Below are 14,981 nucleotides of genomic sequence, written 5' to 3'. Positions count from 1 at the left end.
GGGACTGCCACTGGGATAAAGTGAACACTTCACTTTCCAAAGAACAGAAGTCAGAGGGCAGGGTGAGGGCAGAGGACTACACAATCAGTCAGCGGGAGGGAAGGGGAAAGCAGACTGCTAAGAACCCATGAGCAAGACCACCCTTTGGAACTAAAGACTGTTGAATTTCAGTAGACTTCCCAGCTACCCAGTGATCTGGAGTAAGAGAGGGGAGAGTCTGGAAACATCAAAGAGAGGGGCTGGTACTCACCAAGCTCAGCAGCAATTTCCTTCCGGGCCCTCAAGGCTGCTCCACTCCAGATGGCATCTAGCACACGGCTGCCATGGCGACTACAGGCCAGAGCCACATATTGTCCCTGTATGGAGACAAGCAAAGTAGGTCTCCCTAGCAAAATCCACAAAAGTATTTTGGAGGCTTGTGGAGAGTGAATTTTCTGAAGAGTTTAAGGGCTGAATTAAAATAGTCTAGGAATTACATAGCCTTTTTGAGTCTGAAGGTACAGTCCAGGGAAAGCTCATATTCTCTAAATGGATGATGGTGGGGAATCAAGGCAAAAGCCAGAAATCTAACCTTTAGGTTCTGCAGCACACGGCGGCGCAGCTTGCGCGTCACAGAGGGGCTGGTCAGGATGGCATCGAGCACATGAGAGCCAGCGGGACTTTGGGCAAGGGACAGAAGCTGTGGTCCCGTCAAGGCACCCAGACTTCGAAGTACAAGACCAGGAGTGGAGAAGTGCAGCAGATGCTGGAGCAGTAGAGACCCAAGGACTGTCACATCCCCCAAGGCTCTGGCTGCGGCCATTGCCACCTGGCAGCGCAGAGATAAGAAATTAGGAGGCACCAACAAGCCAGGTGGATGAGCCCATCCCCAGAACACTGCCACCTCCACCTGGATGAAGTCACCACTCTCACCTCAGAAGTCAGACGCTTGCTAAACCCTGGGAGGCCTGACTCCCAATTAGTCACTGGCTTGGCCTCTCCCCTACCTCACCTGGTGCTCTGCAGGCACTGCCCCCTCCTCCTCCGTCAGTCCATAGTACACCTCATAAGCCATCAAAGTGGCAAAGAGAGGCACACAGGCCACTTGCCGGGATGAGGGCTCTGCACAGTGGAATGCCTAAAGGAGAAGACAGAATATGATGAACCTGAGAACTTCTCCGTCCCTTACCTCAACTTTAAGGGAACACCTTCAGGAAAGGAAAGAAGGCCCAACTCCACAAGAATGTTAGCTCCATGAAAGCAGATGTCATGCCTTGCTGTATCCCCAGCCTCTATCACATACAGGGGTTAATAAATGTTTATCCCTTAAATAAACTTCTCTCTTAGTTCTGGGAGACAATTTTTGTTCCAGGACTGTGAAATAACATTTGGCCTCAGCCGGGCACGGTGAGCTGAGATTGCGCCACTGCACTCCAGCCTGGGCAACAAGAGCAAAACTCCGTCTCAAAAAAAAAAAAAAAAATTAGCTGGGTATGGTGGCGGGCACCTATAGGCCTCATTTTCCCCCATTCCTGTGAACTCCTTGGGCATTAGACTTCCTGAGTCCAGAGGTACAAAAACTTAAGATTAGATAAGTCCTAAAAGGTAGAAGTTGAACTGAGGGCATAAACAGATTGTGGGTAATATCCACTCACCTCCAACAAGAGCTGTAGGACCTTGGCTTGGTAGGCCCCAACTCTGCGACAGGCCCCCACCAGGGCAATGACTACCCCTGGGTGGCCCTGGGCCAATACAGCTTCCAAGACAGGGCTCAGCTCCTCAAACACAGGGGACAGCTGATGGGAAACATGGAATGTAACTCTGGCATTCTGGTAATGGCGGACCACATTATTCAGAGAAATCTTCCCAACGAAAACAACTAAAAATGCTAGATAAAACATAAAAAGCATTGCCAGTATCAGGACTTTTGTTTGGCTAGATAAGGCCCAGGATAAGGGGGCAGTCTTAGAGGTGCCACCTCACAGGAAGGAACTTTAAGTGGCTCTTCCCTATGTGTAAGGGAGCACTAGGAGCAAGGGGAGACTAAAATTAAACTGCACTTCCACTCTAACACCCAATGCATGAGACCACAGGGAAGCCCACCTTAGTCCTAAGCAGCAAAGGAAAAGAGAAGCTATGGCAACAGCTCTAGCACTCATGTGGGCTTATAGCCAAGTACCAGAGTCTGGGTGGGCCATGGAACCTCAAGCTGTAAACCTGAATAAAGCCAGTTTCTTGCTGGTCCTCATACCTGAGAGAAGTCAAAACAAATCCTCACTAGAAGGTGGGCACCTTTATCCTAAGCTCTGGAAAACCTCAAAGAATAGCTTTTCAAGGGCAATGGCCAGCACAATGTCAAAGGTATATAGAGGCAGACAGACCATAAAATAAGGTCCAGTGATCAAGAATTAGCAGAAACAGATCCAGCTCAGGTTTCCAACTCACCAGCTCAGGGGTAGTGACTGCATCCAGTAAGCGCTGCAAAGGGAAGTTGGCAATGGGATGTGCAGCCAGGGTCTGCAGCTGCCCCTGCAAGTGCTCCTCAAAGAGGCTCTGGAGTCTTGGGGGCTCCAACACCAGCAGGACCTGCTCCAGGAGTCTGGAACTCGTCTGATCTCGGAGAAATAGCAGTAGGGGACTAGGGACAAGAAGGGCATCAGGCAGTCTTAACTCCATTTCATGCAAAATACAGTTGCACTACATCACCTCATTCATTTCACACAGCCCCGCCAACTTGGGTCGATCCTGAGGCCCTGACCATACCTGCCATCTACTGAGGAACCGCGAGTACTCAGGTAGCCAATCACAGCATTGCAGAGATGAGCGCAAAACTGGGGAAGTTTGCGGTGTAAAACCTGTAAAGCCACTTGAAGACAGAAGCTGGAGATCTTATCAGTGATAAACACTGTGGAGAGAGGGCAGAAATAAAGCGGCTTTCCCAAAATCCAGACAACCTGCGTAACCTCAAACTTTAGGCAACAAGATACAGGGCACTATGGACACAAAGGGACTATACAAAGTGCTCTGAACGTCAAACCAGACCAGGTTTGAAAAGAAGAGGAATAACCTGAGGTAAGGGCCTTGCTTGGTGGTAAGATGACCTCCAGACAAGTAGATACGAGACCATCCTCCTACTTCCCTCCTTACCTGCAATGTCCTTCAGAAAGGAGGAGCTCAGGTCCTGAAGGCGATTCAAAAAGGTTTCAGGGACTTCAAAATCAGCTGGCTTACATTCCTGAGCTGGGGTCTTCTGTGCTTCTGAAGGAAGATTAAGAACATGTGCAGTGGGGAGATCACAAACTGCCATCCAGGAGAGAAAAATTTCACAGATGAACAAGGATTCCGCTTGGAGATGCAGAACAGATGTAGTACAACTAAATGTCTCTTCTGGATGACTGAACTGAGACTACATTTCTGTCTTAATTTTTCTAAGAAACTTCAACCAGCTTCCCCATGGTCCACAGAAGACAGTTCAACCTCCTCAGCCAGGTATTCAAGCCATTCCAAAATAAAGCCTCATTTAAACTCGCTAACTTTATTTCCTAGTTTTTCAAAATGTGGATCACAGCTCAAGACTGTACCATGAAATCAAGTTAGTGGTCTCAACTAGCATTTTTTTTAAATGAAATAGAGCAGAATAGTTTTGAAAAGGAAAAAAAAATAACAGAGTGGGCTGCATGTAGTAAGGGTATAGTTTCCTGAACTTTTGCTTGAGTCCAGTGTGTATGTTACTTTTGCTTAAGTCCATTTGTATATTAAGTCATGCTTAAAAAAAATTCTCCTCCTGCGTCCATTCTAATAGCCTTCCCCAAACACAACTGTACATCCCTACCTCTGGGCCTCCGCACACACTAATCTTTGGCTTGCTAAGCCCTGTTCAGATTAGGACAGGTCAAGCTAATTCTTCCCGGTCAAGCTCCCCCATGAAGACTTACTCTTCTGTTTACTGTCTCATTCTGAACTTTCTAAATTCTTCTTCCCCCTAGGTCCACTTTCCTCTTGTAATACTTACCAGATGATTGGGAACCACGGGGCCTGGCTCTCTCAGACTCCAGAATAGTCCCTCCTAACACCTGAAGCAGAGTTCTGACCACGAAGCTGCCATGTGTGTCTCCACAGTAGACAAGAAAATCATCACACACCTCAGCGGCTAGTCCCAGGACCAGCTCCTCCAGGGTCTCCGTGGGACCATCCTTTCCATCCTCCTCCTCCTCCTCCTCCTCCTCTGCAGCACTCCCCAGCAATCGAGGGAGCTGTAGCAAAGCACTTTGTAATACATGGACCCCGCATCGGTGACAGGCCACAGTGCGCAAGTTAGAGCGCAGAGCAGCCCACACGCGACAAAGCGGTTTCAAGGGACTGAATCCCAACAGTTCCTGCAGCATCTCACTGCCAGTCCTGTTCGTGGACAAAGCTAGGGCCTGAGTCTCTACTTCCTTCATTATATTGTGCACCATCAGATCTGAAAAGGGAAGAAAGACACACTTTGAAGAGACTTAGTAGAGAATACAGTTATGTACCCTCGCTTAACCAAGGGTCGTGGGTCGGAGGCCGAGGAAGAGGACATGGGAAATGAAACTAAGTCCCCACGCCCTGCCGACCCTAGAAAGTTTCCTTGCCTGCCCTGGATTTGATGCTCTTGGTCTAAACCCCGAAGTTGCTGCCTACCTCGTTCTTCCCCAGTCTCGGGAGCCTCTTTCAATGCTGACAGCGCCCGGCGGAAATATCCCAGAGCTTCCGGGCTCAGGTGCGGGTGCGAATCTGGAGCCGGCTCCGAGCGCCCATCCGGAGGCGGCCAGGGTTGCCGCTTACGGCCTGGTAAGGGGCGCCCCGACCCCTTGGCCCCGCGCCCCCGTTTGCCACCAGCTGGGAACCGGCGCCCCACCTTGTGTGGAGAGCGCGGACCCTGCCCCATGTGTGCTTCGCGACCTGTCCGGCTGCAAAAGCTTCCTTAACTGCGGACGGACCTTCGACGTCGCCAAGCGTGCGCCTTATCCAGACAAAGTTTAGAAACGCGGGCGCGCTCCTGACGCAGCTACTACGTCATAGTTCCGCGCCGCCCCAGCCGGGCGGGGTGGGTGTGTCACCCAGATCGCTCCGCCCCCATCCGCAGGTTCTAACTTTGGCCTGGGACTCTGCCCCTCTACCTCAGCACAGAATCGCCCCGGGTCCTACTACAGAATCAATCCTTGAACACTGCCTCCACGTCGCCGGCTCAATCTGGGCGAGAACCCAGACTTCCACCGCAGCCCCGCAATCTGCAGACCTCAGCGGCAGCGCAGGTGGCAGGTAAGCGGCGCACGCTCGTCCCACTTAGGGCTTAGGATCTCCAGGCTTCGCGCTCATCCCCGGCCCGGAAGCTGCGCCTCTGGCTCAGCCGGACTGGGTCAGGCCAGGGACCGGAGCTTCAGATAGCCCAGGACTCTGCGTGGACGCGCCCCGAGGGGCTGCCGCGCCAGATTCCCATATCCAGGCAGCCACACTCAGAGGGTTGTAGTAGTTGTCCACCTCTGGACAGTCCCACTCAGCCCCTTCTTCACTCTCTGGGCCTCCCAAAAGACAGTCAGCCTTGTCCTCAGGCCCGCACCCAGTTGTCAGCCTCTGACTCCTCTCCCCTCAAAGGATTCTTACCTTGGCTCCTCCTCTTAGCCCTAGTGAGGTTCTCCCCTACCCCCCAACCTCGCCCCAACACACACACAGTCTCCAGGCTTCCCTCAGAGTAAGTCTTTGCTTCCACAGACCTGCCTCCTTTGCCTGTGAGTCATGGCAGCTCCCATGAATGGCCAAGTGTGTGTGGTGACTGGTGCCTCCAGGGGTATTGGCCGTGGCATTGCCTTGCAGCTCTGCAAAGCAGGCGCCACAGTTTACATCACTGGCCGCCATCTGGACACCCTTCGCGTTGTTGCTCAGGAGGTGAGTGCTTCCTCTGGGACCACAGTTGCAGAAACCACCCGAGAGAGCCCTTCCACTTAACAGCTCCTTTCCTAATCCCTTACCTGAAACTATAATACTACTCAACAAGATGTGAATATTTATTCAAAGTGGAAATTAAAAACCCCGTAAATAACTTCAGGTAAGGTAGAATTTTGCCGCCAAGTGAGTTTTATGAAAAAACTTTGTGTTTGAGCCAGGCATGGTGGCACGTTCCTGCAGTCCCAGCAGCTACTCCGGAGGCTGAGGCAGGAGGATCGCTTGAGCCTAGGAGTTGAGCCATGATCACACCACTGCACTCCAGTCTAGACGACACAGCGAGACACTGTATTAAAAAAAAGAAAAGAAAGAAAAGTAAAAAACTTTTTGTTTGAGAGCAGAGATTTTGGAATTGCAACTAAAGGGTTGTGGACCTGTGCTTTCCTCTATTTCAGGCAAGACTTTATTGAACTGCACATTTTTTACTTATTTACTAGACTTCAGTTAAATAAATATTTGAGTATCCATGATTTGCTAGGCATTGGTAAACCACTGAAGTTACCAAGACTAATAAAATCTAATTTCTGCTCTTCAAAGATTCAGTCCATGGTGGAGTACAGTGGCTCATGCCTGTAGTCCCAGCACTTTGGGTGGCCAAGGCAGCAAGATCACTTGAGGCCAGCAGTTGGAGACCAGTCTGGGCAACATAGCTAGACCCAGTCTCTACAAAAAATATTTTTTAAATAATTAGCTAGGCACAGTGGCCTGCACCTGTAGTACCATCTACTTGGGAGGCTGAGGCAGGAGGATCGTTTGAGCCCAGGAGTTCGAGGTTGCAGTGAGCTATGATTGCACCACTGCACTCCAGCCTGGTGACAGTGAGACCCTGTCTCTAAAAAAAAAAATTTTAATTAAAAATGAAGATAGATTCCAACAGGAAGTCAGGTACAGAAAGCAGTCACTTCAATGTAATGTGAATATGGTAAATTATAAGAGGGAGATATGCACAGAATACTCTAGGGGTGTTGGGGAGCATCCAGATGACATAGGAGAGTGGCTAGGGAAAGTGGTTTGGGAAAGCGTCCTGGAGGAGGTAGGTGGTTCTTGAACTGAGTTTTGAAAGGTAAGAATTAGGTAAAGGAAGTTAGGAAAAGCATTCCAGCAGAGGGAGCTCCATAAGCATAGGGACGCTGTGTGAAAGAGTAGATGTGTGAGATAATGCAAGGGAAGAGTAGTGAGTGAGAGGCTGGAGAGGAAAGAGTGGGTCTTGGAAGACCCTAATAGAGAACTCAGGCTTCATCCTCTAAGAGATGGAGATCCAGTTAGGAGATTTTGAACAGGGTTTGTGTTTTAGATAGGTCGTACTGGCTGGATTATGAAGAATTAATTTAAGGCAGACAGACTGGAGGTCAGGTGAGTCGTTGGGAGGCATTGCAGTAGTTCAGGCAAGGAGGGTAATAGGCGGGGACCCAGAGCATAAATTTGGAGAATAGGAGGATTGTTCTTAGATAAAGGACTCTTCTTCCTCTGAAGTTGGAGGTTTGTGGGCATTTGTAGAGAGTGAGACAGAACAGGAAGTAGAAATCATTCATGGCTGATAGCTTTGGTTTTTTCAATTACCAACCAGGAGCATTGGTGGAGTGAGGGTAAGACAACTGGGACTGAGTAGAGGTTTTAGGTGAGTAGTGTAGGGTGGGAGCTAAGGGCATGAGAGATGGAAATGACCACAACAAGGAAAAGGATGCTTACTCATTTCTCAAGAGCAGACTCCATGCCTCACTTGTTCTTACCCTCTACTTGCAAAGTACAATGCTGTGCACATGGTGGGCCTCAGTAAATGTTTGTAGATTATTAAAACTTACATTGCAATTCACCTTGCTCTGTGGTGGGGAGGCCTATCATTCCTGAAACTACTCAAACAGACACCAGAGGGCAGCGTTGCCTGCCATGTTGCCTCTGCAGCAGGCTCTCCTAGGATTGATTGTCTTCTCAGTTCTCAAGCCCACTTTGGTTGGGGAGTTTTGTCATGACTCACACCCATGTGTGAATGTGAGCTCATATCCCCTGTCCTACTCCAGGCACAATCCCTCGGGGGCCAATGTGTGCCTGTGGTGTGCGATTCAAGCCAGGAGAGTGAAGTGCGAAGCCTGTTTGAGCAAGTGGATCGGGAACAGCAAGGGCGTCTAGATGTGCTGGTCAACAATGCTTATGCAGGGGTCCAGGTACCCTTTGAACTTTGTTCCCAACTCCACATTTCTGACCTCCCCCTCAGACCCCTGCATCTTCATCCCCACTCATTGTCCCTTCCATTACCCAGCCCCTCACACCTCCCTACCTTCAGATCATTCATCACCCTCCCTGTGCCTTCCAGACGATCCTGAACACCAGGAATAAGGCATTCTGGGAAACCCCTGCCTCCATGTGGGATGATATCAACAACGTCGGACTCAGGTGGGTGCTCCACTGCCAGGACCCATGTTCCCTCACTCACTTAGCCAACTCGACGGCCAGGCCTTTCCTTACATGCCCTCTCCTTTTCCCTCCGGCCTCCCCCATCTCTTTCTTCTCCCTTCCATTCCATTTGTCCCACTTACCTCTGGAGAAGTTCCATCCAGGTGAGTCTGTACCTGAGAATGTCAACTCTGTCAGTAATTTTCATTGGAACAAGCCCTTGGCCTCTCTCCTGTCTCACTCTCTGCCCATCCAAATGCAAGACCCAGAAGGGAGGAAGCCTCCTCCTCTCAGTAATGCGCACAGCCTGTAGTCTATACTTTCAAAATGGTTAGAGGGAGAAATTGTTTTATTTTAGACTGGGAGAAGCTTAAGAAGAAGGAGCGAACACCAATGCTGTTTAGTCTCCACATCCTCACTCCACACCCACAGGCAAGGGCACTGCCGGGTCAGAGTTGGGAGAGCAGGTACATCACTGGGTCACACAGGGTCATTTAGCCCAGGAGTGAGATGAAACACAGCATTTAGAATTCGCCTAGCATAATGCACACCAGTTATGCCTCTGTTACTGTTGGAATGATGTTACACTCTCATATAATCAAGTCATGCCTGATGGATGTGATCAGTCACCTGTGGGAGTAACCACGAGATTATCGGCAAATCTGTGACTAAAGCATGTAAGAACACCCACCGCTCCAATTTTGGTACTCTGGTAACAATCCCAAGGAAGCAGGATTAGAATGCAATTGTGATTTCCAAAGTGGAAGGAAGATCATTAGGACAGAGGAGGATGGTGAGGCCAAAGGCAAGAAAGGGACACGTTAAGAGCTGGAAATTGGCCAGTGTTCATGACCATAGCCTCCAAAGAGAGGTGCCTTCCACACCCTCATCTCTTGCTGGCCAGGGTTTTGACCCTGAAGCAGAGATTCAAGGCAGAGGCCCAGACCCTCGACCTTGGGCCCTGATGAATTATCCAAGGTAAAGGCCCCTTGATGAGCCCCTGACAGCCCCCCAGCACCTCCTGCCCACCCATTCCCCATGCGCATTTACTGCCTTTCCTCTGTATTACCTTGGGCTGCACTTTCCTTTAAAACTATAACTCTACTTGTTTTCATTTGGAAGGTCCTAATTCTTTCCCTATGCAAAAGAAATTTATTCTGGTTACCAAGTTATGTGTGTGTTACTTTTTTTAAATATGGAAAAAATCTGAAGACCAGTATAATCTTATTCCCCTCAGTGCCATCCCTTGCTCTCTTGCCTGATATATAGCTACTATTAATAGCCTGGCATATATTCTTTCAGATTTTTCATGTAAATATCTCTCATTCTTTTTAATACTTGTACGTATTCTATTGGGAGGATGTATGATCATTTATTTCTCTAATCCCTTATTTGTTGCAGCAGTGGAATTCTTAGATCAAAGAATATGTACTTCCCTTAGGTTATAGAGACTGTGGGAAAAATAGAAAAAAAGAAAAGAAAACAAAGAATATGTACTTTTTAAAGATTTAATAAATATTATCAAGCTCTCCTACAAAAAGACCCTACCAATTTTTTATATCAAGACAATGAAGGGGAATATGTGTTTCCCCATGTCCTCTACCACACCAGGCAGCGTCAGCTCATGCACTCAGGCAAGCTTTGTTACTATAATAAGCCGAAAATATATAAAGGGGTTTTAATTCATACTTCTTCCACTATTTGTCAGGTTGAACTTTTTTTCCCCTTTGTTTATTGGCTCTTTGTTCTTTTGTAAATCATCTTTGACTTTCGCATTAATTTATAAGAGATCACTGTGAAACAAATGACTTTGGCATTTATTTTACAAATATTTTTCCCAATTTATCACTCATTTTTCACACGCATACTCCCCCCACTCGTCTGTTGTTGTTGTTGTTGTTGTTGTTGTTGTTGTTGTTTTGAGGTGGAATCTCGCTCTGTCACCCAGGCTAGAGTGCAGTGTGCAATCTCAGCTCACTGCAACCTCTGCCTCCTGGGTTCAAGCGATTCTCATACCTCAACCTCCCGAGTAGCTGGGATTACAGGCACCTGCCACCACGCCTGGCTAATTTTTGTATTTTTAGTAGAGAACGGGGTTTCACCGTGTTGGCTGGGCTGGTCTCGAACTCCTGATCTCAAGTGATCTACCCACCTCAGCCTCCCAAAGTGTTGGGATTATAGGCATGAGCCACCATACTCAGCCTCGCCCTGCTCTTTATATACACAGAAATATACATGTATCTTTGTATTTGTGTGTGTATGTGTGTGTATCTTAATTTTACGTCAAATCTGTCAGTCTTTTATAGTTTCTGTCTTGGTGTGACGCTAATAAAAGCCTTTTCCCTCAAGTTTATAAACACATTTGATCATGTTTTCTTTCAGTACTTCTGTGCTTTCGTTTTTTATATTTAAATATTTGATCCTTTTAGGCTTAATTTTAAAATAATAAACGAGGCAGAGACCCAATTCCCCTAACTCAAATAACTGGTCGGTTGTCCCAAATGATCCAACTTTCCCCCACTGATTTGACAGGTTCCTTTCGTAATACATTGCGTTCTCACATACACTTGTATCTAATTATTCTCTGTTTTGTTTCATTGACTTATCAGTCTACTGTTAACACCTGTATTGCATTCTTTTAACTATTATGTCTTGTACATTTTAATTTATTTTATTTTATTTTTTAGAGACGGGGTCTTGCTGTGTTGGCCAGGCTGGTCTCAAACTCCTGACCTCAAGCAATTCTCCCATCTCAGCCTCCCAAAATGCTGGGATTACAGGCATAAGCCACCATGCCTGGCCCCTGTGCATTTTAATATGGGTGACAGCAGGGGTAGGGAAAGCAATCCCCCTCACCCACAAGACATTAGTCTTTTTAGTCCTTTTTTCGGAATTTTCCTGGCTGTTCTCTTTCTTTTTATTTATTTATTTATTTTTGAGACAATCTCACTCTGTCAGCCAGGCTAGAGTGCAGTGGCACAATCTCAGCTTACTGCAACCTCCGCCTCCTGGGCTCAAGAGATCCTCCTGCCTCAGGCTCCCGAGTAGCTGGGACTATAGGCACGTACCACCACACCTGGCTAATTTTTGTATTTTTAGTACAGATGGGCTTTCACCACGTTGGCCAGGCTGGTCTCAAACTCCTGAGCTCAAGTGATCTGCCCCCCTCGCCTCCCAAAGTGCTGGGATTGCAGGCGTGAGCCACCGTGCCCAGCTTTTCTGGCTGTTCTCACGTTTATTCTTCTCATTGAGCTTTAGATTATTTTATCAATTCCTCCAAAAGGTCTTATTGAGCTATAATCCAATTTGACTGAATCTATGGATTGATTTACATAGAAATGATGATTTACATGTCAGTTCTTAGCTTTGAAAGATTTTGTCTGTACTTATTGTCATGGTTTTATAGTTTTTCTATGTAGACACTATACATTTCTTAAGTTTTCTCCCCCTGAACAATTTTGTTTGTAATTGTTATTGTGACAGGGCTCTTGCGTTCCATTTCTTCTTCCAAAGATTGCTGTTTCTCATCTGTCAGTGGTTATTTTGACCAGTTTTCCTCTCAGAATATGGCCTCAAGCCCCTAATTCCTCAGGTCGCTAACCCACCCTGTGTAGCCTTCCTAGTGGACAACAACCACCAGAAGGCAGGGGAAGCCGCCAGAGGCTGTGGCACCCAGGCCAGCACTAACACGGTTCATTCCTTCTTCCCTTGCCCCACCTTCTAGAGGCCACTACTTTTGCTCAGTGTATGGGGCACGGCTGATGGTACCAGCTGGCCAGGGGCTCATCGTGGTCATCTCCTCCCCAGGAAGCCTGCAGTATATGTTCAATGTCCCCTATGGTGTGGGCAAAGCTGCGGTGAGGACCCAGTGGCATAGGAGCTGAGGAGGTAAAAGACAGTGATGTTACCTATAGCTCAGGAGGTACAATCCCCAGTGGTCAGAATGGTAAGGCTGGCTCCTCTCAGCTCCTCCTCTGCCTCATCCATGGACAGTTCCTTTGCTTGTGCTCCTCTTGGTTGGCTAGAGTAGGCATCACACTGGGGAGCGTGGGCAGCTGAGACCTTGGGGCTCCTGGGAAGGACAGGGTGGGTGGAGCATTCACAGTAGAAGCAGAGAGGGCAGGGCAGGAAAGTGACATGGCTAGGTGGCTCTTACCCTGCCTTCCGCCTCTCCACAGTGTGACAAGCTGGCTGCTGACTGTGCCCACGAGCTGCGGCGCCATGGGGTCAGCTGTGTGTCTCTGTGGCCGGGGATTGTGCAGACAGAACTGCTGAAGGAGCATATGGCAAAGGAGGAGGTCCTGCAGGATCCTGTGTTGAAGCAGGTTGGCAAGGGGAGGGCGAAGGAAGCAGAGAACAGGGGAGTCGGCCTCTGCATCCTCAATAACAAGATCAGATACTCCCACTCACCAGGTGCTTACTGTGGCAGGTGCAGGGCTGAGCATGGGACACACATTATTTCCTTTAATCCTGTAAGGGAGATACCAGCTCCATTCTACAGATGGCAAAACTGAAACCCAGAGAGGTTTAGAAACTTGTTGAAGGTCACATATGTCCTAAGTGGAAAGGCTGTCTAGCTCCAAAGACCATGCACTTGACCCCCACACCAGCTAGCTTAGAAGGTCCAAACACTATTTGGCACTACCAGATCCTTCCACTTAGCAAAGACAGCAGATCCTGGTGCCAGGGCACAGGGCTCACCTGGATGTGGGGAGGAGTGGCTCTGGCACCTGCCAATACTTTGGGTCCTACAGGCCCTGCTTGAGGTCTTTGGCCTCTTTGGTCTTTGGTCTTTTTCTCCTGGAACAGAAGTTGAAATGGGGAGGAGACCTGGGCAGTGCTCTTGGAAATTAACCCTTCACTTCTCTGCCCCTGTGTTTCAGTTCAAATCAGCCTTCTCATCTGCGGAAACCACAGAATTGAGTGGCAAATGTGTGGTGGCTTTGGCAACAGGTGAAGTTTGGGGGCAGCTGGTAATAAGAAAGGGCATGGAGGATGTGTAGTGCGGTAGCATCCAGTGCCCAGATCTGGCTCGGGAGTTGGTTGAGGAACATGTCATTCTTTTCTCTGCTTTTTGAGGCCCAAGGGGTCAGCATTCCCAGTTTGAGGTCTGAGAGCCTTAGGAGCAGGCTCCTGGGAAGTGTGGAAAAAGTCCAAGGCCCAAGAGAAAGAGCTCTCCAGGGATCCTGAGCTCCAGGGCTCTCAGCAGTGCCCTGTCCAACTGGGCCCAAACCTTGTCACTCTGCATACTCCCCTGCCTGCCATCTCCACCTGTCTGTGTGCCCGCAGATCCCAATATCCTGAGCCTGAGTGGTAAGGTGCTGCCATCCTGTGACCTTGCTCGACGCTATGGCCTTCGGGATGTGGACGGTGAGGACCCTGGCACAGCAGTCAGCCTTGACTGCTGTTCCCTCTGTTCCCTGCCCACTCCTCCCTCGGTCTCTCCAGCCAAGGTGAGGGTATCTGAGGAGTGGGAAATGAGAATCTAATCCTCCTCCTCCTGTTGTTCCCAGGCCGCCCCGTCCAAGACTATTTGTCTTTGAGCTCTGTTCTCTCACACGTGTCCGGCCTGGGCTGGCTGGCCTCCTACCTGCCCTCCTTCCTCCGTGTGCCCAAGTGGATTATTGCCCTCTACACTAGCAAGTTCTAACCCTCCTGGTCTGACACTACGTCTCTGCTTGTCTTCTCATTTGGACTTGGTGGTTCGTCCTGTCTCAGTGAAACAGCAGCCTTTCTTGTTTACCCATACCCTTGATATGAAGAGAAGCCCTCTGCTGTGTGTCCGTGGTGAGTTCTGGGGTGCGCCTAGGTCCCTTCTTTGTGCCTTGGTTTTCCTTGTCCTTCTTTTTACTTTTTGCCTTAGTATTGAAAAATGCTCTTGGAGCTAATAAAAGTCTCATTTCTCTTTCAATGTGTTTTTGACTGCTGATTCTCTGCTCAGCAACATGTTAACAATTTGGGAGAAAGACTCAAAGATGTATAAATGTGAAGCTTCTCAAGGGGTTCTGCCCCAGGACAAGACCCCTTTCCTCCAGAACTGTTCCTGCTCTGCCCTGCAAGACCTGTTTCCCATGCCCCAGCTGAGGAGCAGAGTCGCTCCACAGCTAGAAGTGGGCACATCCAGTCTCACACTGGTTTTCCACCCCCATTCCACCATCTCTTCAGGGATGCCTGCTACCTTCTAGCTGGGCCTGATCTCTGGCTGAGGCCCAGTCCAGCAAAGGCAGATTCCTTGGTGTTCATGATTTCCTGGAACTTGGGGAGAAGGTACTGCCTGAATCCAAGTGAGGGACAGAGGAATAGCTGTGACACCGACAACTCTCATCCTTCCTCTCGGGATGGTTCTACCTGAATTGCTTTCTGCAGAACTAATTGCATGAGCCCTATAGAGCTGCCTTGCCTATGCAAGAGGCTGTCCTAGCCTGAGGCAAGGCAATGGGGTGTGTTCCTAAGAGGAGCCAAGGGCTATTCTGAGGGAACCTTCCACCGGACAGCCTAGATAACCATCCAAAGTGATGGGATGGCTGCCATAAATCAGAGAAACATAAATCATTTTACTTATTCAAAATCTTCAGAGTGAGAGCTGAGGCTTCCCCAGGCTGCCCACAAGATTGGCAGAAGTCTTCCTGTGGCTTTCTGGG

General features: G+C 48.8%; 2 protein-coding genes across 11 annotated transcripts in view, besides 1 other annotated feature; one reads left to right on the top strand and one right to left on the bottom strand.

Moving 5' to 3' along the window:
* Window positions 1–14,981, bottom strand: part of NOP9 (NOP9 nucleolar protein) — a 37,922-nt gene that overhangs the window by 4,276 nt on the left and 18,665 nt on the right. The window contains exons 2-12 of one of the 9 annotated variants that reach the window (XM_047431054.1): window positions 12,497–12,810; window positions 12,249–12,412; window positions 4,648–6,235; window positions 3,992–4,441; window positions 3,127–3,279; window positions 2,743–2,884; window positions 2,425–2,617; window positions 1,635–1,775; window positions 992–1,117; window positions 572–808; window positions 251–356 (exon numbers count right to left, since the gene is read on the bottom strand). In XM_047431054.1, the coding sequence (XP_047287010.1) occupies window positions 251–356; window positions 572–808; window positions 992–1,117; window positions 1,635–1,775; window positions 2,425–2,617; window positions 2,743–2,884; window positions 3,127–3,279; window positions 3,992–4,441; window positions 4,648–4,894 (1,795 nt within the window). In that variant the 5' untranslated portion in view covers window positions 4,895–6,235; window positions 12,249–12,412; window positions 12,497–12,810. The other 8 variants (XM_047431052.1, XM_047431053.1, XM_047431055.1 and 5 more) reach the window with 8 other exon arrangements.
* DHRS1 (dehydrogenase/reductase 1) lies at window positions 5,069–14,251 on the top strand. Of its 2 annotated transcripts, none has more exons than NM_001136050.3 (9): window positions 5,069–5,268; window positions 5,719–5,892; window positions 7,968–8,111; window positions 8,261–8,340; window positions 12,065–12,197; window positions 12,519–12,665; window positions 13,224–13,293; window positions 13,630–13,710; window positions 13,854–14,251. In NM_001136050.3, the coding sequence occupies exons 2-9, from the start codon at window positions 5,743–5,745 to the stop codon at window positions 13,988–13,990; spliced, it is 942 nt and encodes a 313-aa protein (NP_001129522.1). In that variant the 5' UTR covers window positions 5,069–5,268; window positions 5,719–5,742; the 3' UTR covers window positions 13,991–14,251. The 2 variants fall into 2 exon arrangements, with proteins under 2 accessions (NP_001129522.1, NP_612461.1); NM_138452.3 differs by lacking the exon at window positions 5,069–5,268 and adding an exon at window positions 5,389–5,633.
* Window positions 5,725–6,515: an enhancer, noted in NCBI's record as "nonconserved acetylation island sequence 81". NCBI's record gives its function as "activates a minimal heat-shock promoter by reporter assays in Jurkat T cells {active_cell/tissue: Jurkat}" and the evidence as "EXISTENCE:reporter gene assay evidence [ECO:0000049][PMID:17135569]".

The sequence above is a fragment of the Homo sapiens genome, chromosome 14 (genome assembly GCF_000001405.40).
Source record: "Homo sapiens chromosome 14, GRCh38.p14 Primary Assembly".
NCBI classification, from domain to species: Eukaryota; Metazoa; Chordata; class Mammalia; order Primates; family Hominidae; genus Homo; species Homo sapiens.
The sequence above is the reverse complement of the archived record's forward strand: the minus strand, read 5'-3'. Positions and strand labels throughout refer to the sequence as shown.

Excerpts from the sequence above, each read along its gene's own strand:
- DHRS1 (NM_001136050.3), top strand. The coding sequence starts at position 5,743 with ATGGCAGCTCCCATGAATGGCCAAGTGTGTGTGGTGACTGGTGCCTCC. Across the intron at positions 5,893-7,967 it reads TTCGCGTTGTTGCTCAGGAG|GCACAATCCCTCGGGGGCCA; the intron begins GTGAGTGCTTCC and ends GTCCTACTCCAG. Across the intron at positions 13,294-13,629 it reads TGTGGTGGCTTTGGCAACAG|ATCCCAATATCCTGAGCCTG; the intron begins GTGAAGTTTGGG and ends GTGTGCCCGCAG.